The sequence below is a fragment of the Homo sapiens genome, chromosome 7, assembly GCF_000001405.40.
Source record: "Homo sapiens chromosome 7, GRCh38.p14 Primary Assembly".
Lineage (NCBI taxonomy): Eukaryota > Metazoa > Chordata > Mammalia > Primates > Hominidae > Homo > Homo sapiens.
In genome coordinates, this window is record NC_000007.14 from 121,567,487 (window position 1) to 121,577,184 (window position 9,698).

General features: G+C 39.7%; 2 annotated features.

The window, feature by feature from the left end:
• Positions 1,303-1,883: an enhancer, noted in NCBI's record as "OCT4-NANOG-H3K27ac hESC enhancer chr7:121208843-121209423 (GRCh37/hg19 assembly coordinates)". NCBI's record gives its function as "activates a minimal SCP1, AML or CMV promoter by ChIP-STARR-seq in naive H9 embryonic stem cells {active_cell/tissue: H9 hESC(naive)}" and the evidence as "EXISTENCE:reporter gene assay evidence [ECO:0000049][PMID:30033119]".
• Positions 1,884-2,463: an enhancer, noted in NCBI's record as "OCT4-NANOG-H3K27ac hESC enhancer chr7:121209424-121210003 (GRCh37/hg19 assembly coordinates)". NCBI's record gives its function as "activates a minimal SCP1, AML or CMV promoter by ChIP-STARR-seq in naive and primed H9 embryonic stem cells {active_cell/tissue: H9 hESC(naive and primed)}" and the evidence as "EXISTENCE:reporter gene assay evidence [ECO:0000049][PMID:30033119]".

Here is a 9,698-nt window from a genome sequence, read left to right on the forward strand (position 1 = left end):
GCGGTTCAGGCGTTTGGAAGTTCTTGTGTGCTGGAGATGTGGATGGGGTTTGTCTCACAGTGGAGGCAAGTAATTGCAACTCAGAAACACATTGCTACTTGGCTGCCTCTACTCTATTATTGTACACCTTGAAGGCAAGGTTAATTAAGTCCTCTTGTGGGGTTTGAGGGCTGGAATTTAATTTTTGGAGTTTTATTTAATGTCAGGAGTGGATTGGGTAATAAAATATATATTGAGAATAAGACGGCCTTTTGACCTTTTAGGGTCTAGGGCTGTAAAGCGTCTCAGGGTTGCTGCTGAACGAGCCATAAACTGGACTGGGTTTTTCATATTTGATGAAAGAGCCTAAATGCTTACTGATTTGGGAGAGGTCTGATAAAGAAAAAGGAGCATTAACCTTGACTATGCCTTTAGCTTCAGCCACCTTTTTAAGAGGAAATTGCTGGGCAGGTGGGGGAGGGCTACTCACGGAATGGAACTGTAAACCGGACCGGGTGTGAGGAGGGGAGATGATAAAAAGATTATAGGGTGGAGGAGCGGAGGCTGAGGAAGAATTGGGACCTAGCTCGGCCTGGCGAGGAGCAGCCTGGGGAGGAGGGGAGAGGTCAGATGGGTCTGTAGAAAAGTAAGATTAGAAAGACTCAGCAACGCTTGGGGTTGGGACTGAGGGGACAGGCGGGAAGGAAAGAAGGAAGATTTGGGACGAGTTGCACTGGGCACAGAGACTAGGGAGGGACCGATGTGTAAAAGAATGCCTGGATGTCAGGCACCTCAGACCATTTGCCTATTTTTCGACAAAAATTATTTAGGTCTTGTAGGATGGAGAAATCGAAAGTGCCGTTTTCTGGCCATTTAAAACCACTGTCAAGTTTGTATTGGGGTCAAGCAGCATTGTAGAAGAAAATAAGGCATTTAGGTTTTAGGTCAGGTGACAGTTGAAGAGGTTTTATGTTCTTAAGAACACAGGCTAAGGGAGAAGGAGGAGGAATGGAGGGTGGAAGGTTGCCTATAGTGAAGGAGGCAAGTTTCAAGAAAAGGGAGGGTAGAGACACGGAAGGAAGTGGTTCAGGGGTTCTTACCTTCCAGAAAAGCGGGAAAGGGGTCGGGGTGCAAAGTTATAAGAGGTTGGGGTGTAGAAATAAGGGATCGGGGCACAGAGATATGAGGTTGGGGTACTTGCCCTTCCTCCAGAAAAGCGGGACTTGCTGCTAAGGGTGAAGAAGGGGTTGAGGGCTTCTTGCCTCTCCTCCAGAAAAGCAGAGAAGGGGTAAGAGACATGGAGAGAAGGGGTTGGGGTACTTGCCCCTCCTCCAGAAAAGCAGGACTTGCTGCTAAGGGTGAAGGACCAAGGCAGGCATCCCTGCGTGGTCTGACACCTCTGAAACGTGGGTGAATAATCAGAGAGGCATCCCTGCTATGATTAAACACCAAGGGAAGTCTGCCCTCCCAGTCCGTGACCAGCACTGGAGTTTTGGGTCCACGGATAAAATGTGTCTCCTTTGTCTCTACCAGAAAATGAAAGGAATTGAAATTAAGGGAAGGGAGAGATTGAAGTGTGGCACCAAGACTGAAAGGAGAAAGAGGTTGAGGGATAGTGAGGGAGGTTGGAGAAGAGAGTAAAAAGAGGCCACTTACCGGATTTGAAGTTGGTGAGATGTTTCTTGGGCTGGTCGGTCTGAGGACCTGAGGTTGTAGGTGGATCTTTCTCATGGAGCAAAGAACAGGAGGACAGGGGATTGATCTCCCAAGGGAGGTCCCCCGATCTGAGTCACAGCACCAAATTTCATGCGTATCCATGTGAAGAGACCACCAAACAGGCTTTGTGTGAGCAATAAAAGCTTTTAACACCTGGGTGCAGGTGGGCTGAGTCCAAAAAGAGAGTCAGCGAAGGGAGATGGGGTGGGGCCATTTTGTAGGATTTGGGTAGGTAAAGGAAAAAGGGGGGTTGTTCTCTGGCGGGCAGGAGTTGGGGTCACAAGGTACTCAGTGGGGGAGCTTTTGAGCCAGGATGAGCCAGCAGAAGGAATTTTACAAGACAATGTCATCAGTTAAGGCAGGAACAGGCCATTTTCACTTCTTTTGTGGTGGAATGTCATCAGTTAAGGCAGGAACTGGTCATCTGGATGTGTATGTGCAGGTCACAGGTGATATGATGGCTTAGCTTAGGCTCAGAGGCCTGACACATATTTACAAAGCAACATTTTAAATCAAATGTTGCCCGCTTTGAATGGGGGTAAGTGCTGTGTAGCTACTTTAGTAAAATAGCTCAGTTGAATCTTGAGGGAAACTTTTTAAGACTGTGGATGGCTTTCTGGGGCCTCCAAGTGACCTCAGAATTGACCCCCTCCAACCTCTTTCCCCACTCCATAAAATCAAGTAAAGCAGATACTGCCAAGATGCTTAAACAGAGATGACAGTGGGTGTTGGTGGGTGCTATGGGGATGTCTTGAGTGGTCAGTGTACTAAGATAGTGAATTTAACAAGAGCAGTCATCTTGCAGTTGGCACATGTTTGAGGTTCAAGGCTGCCCTTGTGTCCTTGTGTCATCATGTTTGTTGCCCACAACCCCCTCTGCTTTTCCTCTTGCTTCCTCCTTTAAATAAGAAAGCACTTAAGTATGTTTCCTGAAGGCTAAGCAGGATGTGATTTTTAACTGATTACTGGATGCTTTTGTATTTAATGGAGGGAATGTTCACATAAAAACCATGCTCAGTCCAACCTTGGAGAAACACTGGGAAACCATGACTTGTTTAATCTTGGAAAAACTTATCTAAACATTTTAGTTCATTGAGCTTTTTTTGTTGTTCATTGAATATTTGGTAGGTATATACATTGTAATATGCAAATTTAAATATATTATTTTATCTTCATAAAATCTCAGTGAAGTAGGTATTTTTATTACCCTATAGTACAAAAAAATAAAATGAAGATTGGAGAAATTAAATAATGCATAACTATCAAGAAGAAATCTAGCATTTGAAGTTTGGCAGTTGTGTGATATCTGAGCATGAAATCTTGTTTTTCGCATGATGCCTGGTGGAGGACGTACTTAGCAAAGAGAGCAGCACATGAAAACATGGAACAGCAGAAGGAATTCCAGGATCTCCAGCTATTTCCTCATAACTGTTGCTTGGGGTGTGAATATAAGCATGGGGTGGCAAACCTAAAAAAAAGATGATAAAGGAAAGGTGGATACCGAGTACCTCATAATTGATTCTTAGGAAAAGGGCAATCATTGAAAAGTCTTCAGCAAGAAATACATAATTAGATTTGAATTTTCATAAAAACACGTTTAAAATCTTCATAGATTTATGGAGGATAATTTCAAAGAAGCTGAGTAGAATAATTCTATGATGATGTAAGAGATGATGAACATAAACTAAGCCATTAGCAGTGAGTTAGGAAGAACTCAGGGGCATTTGAGGACATCTGAGAGATGTGAAGGGAGTGAAAATGCACAAGGCTTGTATCTTGATTTTGGTGGTGGGGGGTGGTGGTAAGGAAAAGGGAAAGATTGAAGATGTCCCTAAGATTTCCTGCTTAGAGAGCTTGGGGACTGGGTAGTTGGGTGATTATAGTTTTCTGCATTAGGAATATAGGAGTGAGTATGAGAGGGAAAAAGTGAGTTCACTTTGAAATGTCTTATATACATTGGAGGTGTCTGTGAGACAGAAGGTACAAATATCCAGGAGACATTTGATATATGGCTTTGAATCTCCACAGAGTCTATCCTAGAGATATAGATTGTGGTCCTGGACCCTACCCTAGACCAACTAAATTAGTCTCTGGGGATTGGCCCATATGTTTTCCATTGAATCAATTTTATACTGGACAACTTAAAAGAAATATATTGGAGAATATCTAAGTAAGCAGGAAGAGGTAGCTTATGACAATATTTTTTATTGTGGAGAGTGAAAGATTAATGATTTAAAAGGTGAAAAAGGACTAATTCAGTTTTAACATTTTGAGGTCATAAGCGTTTTATCATAATTTAGTATTGTGTGCATGTTTATTTCTTTTTGTATCTCATTAGAGAGGCATGCTTAAATGACCAATACATATTTTTGGGGATTATTTTGCTATAGACAATGTGATCCCCTCAAAATAAAATAACGTATTTAACTCTACAGAAAGTATTCAAATCTCCAATATAAGCAGTCTATTTTTGGTGGGTTTGAAAAAAGATGTGCTTAGTATCAAGAGATTTGACTTTGCTACATGCTTTGGTCAAATTAGCTGACAGTTTTGGAGTTCAATTCAGTCTGATAAATTTAAGCAGCTACCATGTACATGGCAGTCTGTCAGCAGGGTAGGGAATCCTGAGACATGTGCAATGCTACCTCTTCCCTTAACGAAGTTTTACTCTAGAGGTAATTGACTTGGGCCCAGTCATATGACAAAACAGAGTAAGATCAGTGTAATAATGGAGTTGCAGAGTGTTTTACAATTTCAAAGAAAAGAGAAAAACTGTTTCATGCGGAGATCAGGAGAGAAAGCTGGCAAGGGAAGGGAACGTTTACTGAGTATATACCAGGTGCTAAGTTTCTTTCCAAATAATATTTAAAATTTTGGAACACTCTGAATAAAAAGTACTGTCTGATATATGAGTTTAATTCTAATTAACTATTAGTTTTTTAGTTAAATTGAGCCATGAGACATAATGTCTAAAATTAAGGTCTACTATTGTGCACTGCCCCTTAACATCTGGTGAAAGCAGGAGGGCCCTGAATAGCTGAATTGGAAGTTTCCTTCCTACACTGCTTGTGTGCATAAGGTCCCCTCACCAAATAACCCTACTTGTCAAGAGAATCATGCGCAATTCCTGCTTATCTCTTAACAGTGGGTTTCTTTTCTTCTTTTTTCTTTTTCTTTTTTTTTGAGACGGAGTTTCACTCTTGTTGCCCAGGCTGGAGTGCAATGGCACGATCTCGGCCCACTGCAACCTCTGCCTCCCGGGTTCAAGAGATTCTCCTGCCTTAGCCTCCCAAGTAGCTGGGATTACAGGCATGCACCACCATGCCCAGCTAATTTTATATTTTTAGTAGAGACGGTGTTCCTCCATGTTGGTCAGGCTGGTCTTGGACTCCTGAACTCAGGTGATGCACCCACTTTGGCCTCCCAATGTGTTGGGATTACAGGCGTGAGCCACCGCGCCCCGCCTGAACAGTGGGTTTCTGTTCCCTGCCAGCCCAGATAATTATTCAAACAAGCCAATTACAGCCTTTCATTGGAACCAGGGGGCATGCCATTGTCTAAATACTGCAAACCTGCCTCGTACAGTCCCTGTTGGTTCACTCTGCTCGTCAGTGCAGCCCCTGTGTGACCCTGGATGGTGAGTGGTATCTTCCTGCTCTGAGCTGTGAGTGTTTGTGACTAATAAACTGCTGTCCTCTGTCCAGTGTTGTGTGTTAGAGTGGAGTCCCTCTTTCACTAATGGGGTGAGTAGGAGGTGATTAAAACAAGTCATGCGTAACTCTCTAACCCAAATTTGATAATTTAACAATCACTTAAAAACCATTCAGTATTTTCTTGATGGAAAAATACAACACACAAAAAGTAAACTCCTCAGCCTAGCATGTAAGACATTCCACAATTTTAGTATGTGCCTACCGCTCCAACTTATTTTCCACAACTGGGAGCTACTCCCCATTCATTCTAGACCACTTACATTGTTTTGTAACTCTCTATGTTGTCACAAATATGTAAGCCTTTGCTCTTTTTTGCTTCCTCCATCTGGAAAAATACTTAATCTTTTGTCTAAAATCCTAAAAATCCCACTCAACATCTGTACTATGAGACTTTCTTACACATCCCTCCAAGAAGCTATGTTTGTGTTTTCCTTCATGTTCTCACTGCACTGTTGACATATACCCATTAAAGCACATATTGCTCTATATTGCAACTATTTGTTCACATGCTTTTCTGCTGTGTTAGTCCATAACCAGCTTGAGAACAGGGTCCTTTTCTTGCCAATCTTTATAAATATATATATATATTATTCATTTTATATATATAAAATATATATTATTCAATACATAAAAATATATATTATTCAATATATAATATATATTATTCAATATATAATATATATTATTTAATATATATAATATTTTTAAATATATAGTATATATATTTTTATTTTATATATAGATATAGATATAAATATAGATATAGATTTGTTTTTGAGATGGAGTCTCGCTCTGTCACCCAGGCTGGAGTGCAGTGGTGTGATCTCAGCTCACTGCAAGCTCCGCCTCCTGGGTTCACGCCATTCTCCTGCCTCAGCCTCCTGAGTAGCTGGGACTACAAGTGCCTGCCACCGTGACCAGCTAATTTTCTTGTATTTTTAGTAGAGACAGGGTTTCACCGTGTTAGCCAGGATGATCTCCATCTCCTGACCTCGTGATCCACCCATCTTGGCCTCCCGAAATGTTGGGATTACAGGTGTGAGCCACCGTGCCCGGCCACTAATCTTCATATTTATGGAAACTACCATAGCGACTATCATCTGAAAGGTGATATCAGTCTTTCAAAATTCCACCTCAACAAATGCTGTTGAATGAATGAATGGATCATTGTGTAATTGTGTCTAGCTAACATGAATTTTATAGCTACAAAACTCCCTTGACAAATATAACTTGATTTCTGCTTTTCTTTCTTCCTTACCACTCTTCTGATCTAAGTAGTATGAGGCTTAAGAATTATTCAGGTATGGGAACCTCAGATCCTGAGCCATCTCATAGCATCTGTTGGCCACCACTGAGCTGTAATTGATTTGGCTCTTTTGAGTGTGTGATCTGCTTTCTGCTTCTTTTGTGCCTTCTCAGCAGCCAAGAAATCTCTGACTGATTTATCTGCACAACTCCAGGTTATGCAGCCTCCATGAGCATTTCCTTGGGAACCACACTCATCCTTCCTATACTGCCATTCTGAAACCATGCTTTCAGTCTTTTTGGGCTATGCCCTGGGAGAAAAAACACATGTTCTGTCTGCACTGGGACCACCTAAACTTATATTGAGTTTGTGTCACTTATATTCCATAGTCTGAAGATTCTCTCTACTATTTTGGATACTCATTTTAAAGTCACAATAAATTCCACCTCTTCTGATATTTCCTAAAGGGAAGATGTCATCTTTTCACTTATATGGGAAGAGATCTCTTTTAAACTTCTAGCATCTGTGTATATCTGTATATCTATATAGATAGATATATAGACGACAGATATAGGTGTGTGTGTACACATTTATACATGTATATATGTGTATATATACATATATGTATGTGTGTGTGTATGTACATAGGTACTCTTCATTTTTTTCAACTATATGATATATTTGTTTTGGCTTTTCAATGAGAACTTAAGCTTCCCCTCCATGTTTTTGAAACATTCTTTTAAAATAAGTAAATAATATCCGCAAATGTTATTATTCCTTTAAAGAATTATGTATAATCTAATTATTGTATATTACTTTTGTGTCCTTCCATTAACATACCACTGTAAATTAGTTTTGTAGCTGTTTGGTGAATGGTTTCCTGGTGAATGAAAAACAGCAAACTTTACACTAAATCATATTTTTATAGGAAGTCAATTCCACTACAGCAAAGACCATTTCTAAATGTCAAAAACTGTTCTTCAGCTTTAGCTATGGCCTACTTACTTCGCATAATACTTAATATTAGAGCATTCTAGTATGACAATAGAATTGGGACAATCTCTGAGAGTTCATGATAATTAGATTTGCAGCTGGCTTTCAGTCTTTTCAATTTTTTTCTTTTAAAAAATTTAAACACAATGGGGAAATGAATTAAATATTGCATGTCAGTTAGCTCAGTTATGTTGTAAAACAATCATAATATCAAATTACACATGCCATCCATCCATGGACTTACTCAACTGTAAGAAAATAGTCTCATGTTCTGTAAAATGAAATCAAACTAAAAGATTTAATCTAACAAATTCAATATTTGATAAGCAATAAAAAGTGACATTTCTTGGTCTGAGGAAAGACTTAAATATCTGGACAAAGACATATGCTTCTGGAAAAAGATTGTTTCTTTTGTTCAGATCGTGCCAAGTAGAAATACTGTCTCTATTACTGTGGACATTTTTATTATCATGTCTCAACAGGAGTGCTCTGGTTGAGAAAGCACTTTCATTCTAACTTTCTTAATCCCCATTGGCTCTAAGTTTCTAAGTAATTTTTAATTTCAATCCAGAACTGTTTTTTTTCTTTTTTTTTTTTTTTGAATGTTTGATAAAATTCACTGTGGCTCATTTTGGGTTATTGGAGCATAAAAATAAAAAACATTTCATCAGATAAGTGATATTTCATGTGCTCTGGGGATATTAAATGATTTTGGAGAGTCAAACATCCCTTGGAATATAATTATTTAATAAAAACAATTTCATCAGAAGTAAGACTAATGAAATAAATGAGTGGTAGATTGAGAGTTGGAAGGGTTATAGAATCTGGCACCTGAATAACTTGTTTTGTTATAAATGGTTTAATGAGTCAGTTCTCTTCTTTGTTGAGTGGGGAATCATGAACAACAGGTTGCTCTGTGGCTGCCCAGTTGCCCCACTTCTAAGATGTGATTTCTACATCTTTAATATCTTGGACACTTAGCCCCAAGTCCTTCCTTTGTGCAGATTCTCATGTCAGAAAGAAAAGTGAAATAGGGGAGAGAGGAGATAAGAATGGTACTCAAGACTCGGTCCTCCCTCCTCTACTCCCTGTCTGTATCTCTCAGAAAGGCTCTAGCCTTTCACTTTAGCGAGAGAAATCTCCATGAAGGAGATTTGTCACTGCCCCCTATCACAGCTGTATCTCAGTTACTTGCCCTGCCGTTTTCTTTGTTGCTCTTTCTTGCCCTGAAATTCCAACAACTGAGATTATCAGAAGGAGCAGCTGTTATTTAAGGCTACAGTTATCAAGACTGTAGCAGTGCTTTTGGTAGAAAAAGTCAAGTCAGTTCACCAGTGTCAGGGAACAGAGCTAAGGAAAGAAGTGCTGCCTCAGTGAGCCAATATTTATTTCATGGCTACTGCCTATCTGATTGAATGTAAATCAAATGGTAATAATTTGCATAATTGTGTACACTTGGTGCTCTATCAAGACCCTCTCTGATCCCTTTTACCTGTTCTGTGCGTTCGTGCTTCAGCTTCTGTGTGCTGTGCTTCTCACTGTTCAGCCCTATGACCTTCTTAGAGGACTGTCCTCATGCTAATGGAGCTGCTTGCTGGCGTGCACAGACAGCAAACCACCTGCTCCAAATCACATGCAGACAAAAGAGAGAAGAGAACTGTGGCTGCAGCACCCAAGACTGTATGCTCATGAAAATATTGGCAAGCCTTTCTGGAATAATTAGAATAATTTTAGGTGGGACATGGTAAGATTAGACATTTAATAACATAGCAATATTAAAATGTCTCATTTTATAGAACCATGGAGATGTCAGGGACTTTGAAGTCAATTTTGTCCCCCTTCTTCTCCTCACTTGTACCTTACTTAGAGAAAGTCATAGCTTTACCATGTGTAAACCACTCATTTATAAAGTCTTATAGGATTACTGATTCTACTGCCTTTGAAATTCTATGATCTTTTTTTCCCTATAAGTTAAGCCAAACTTTGAAATCTCTCATGTAACAACTATTGAATGTATTTAGCCAAACTTTTCATGTTTCATTATTTTTTTT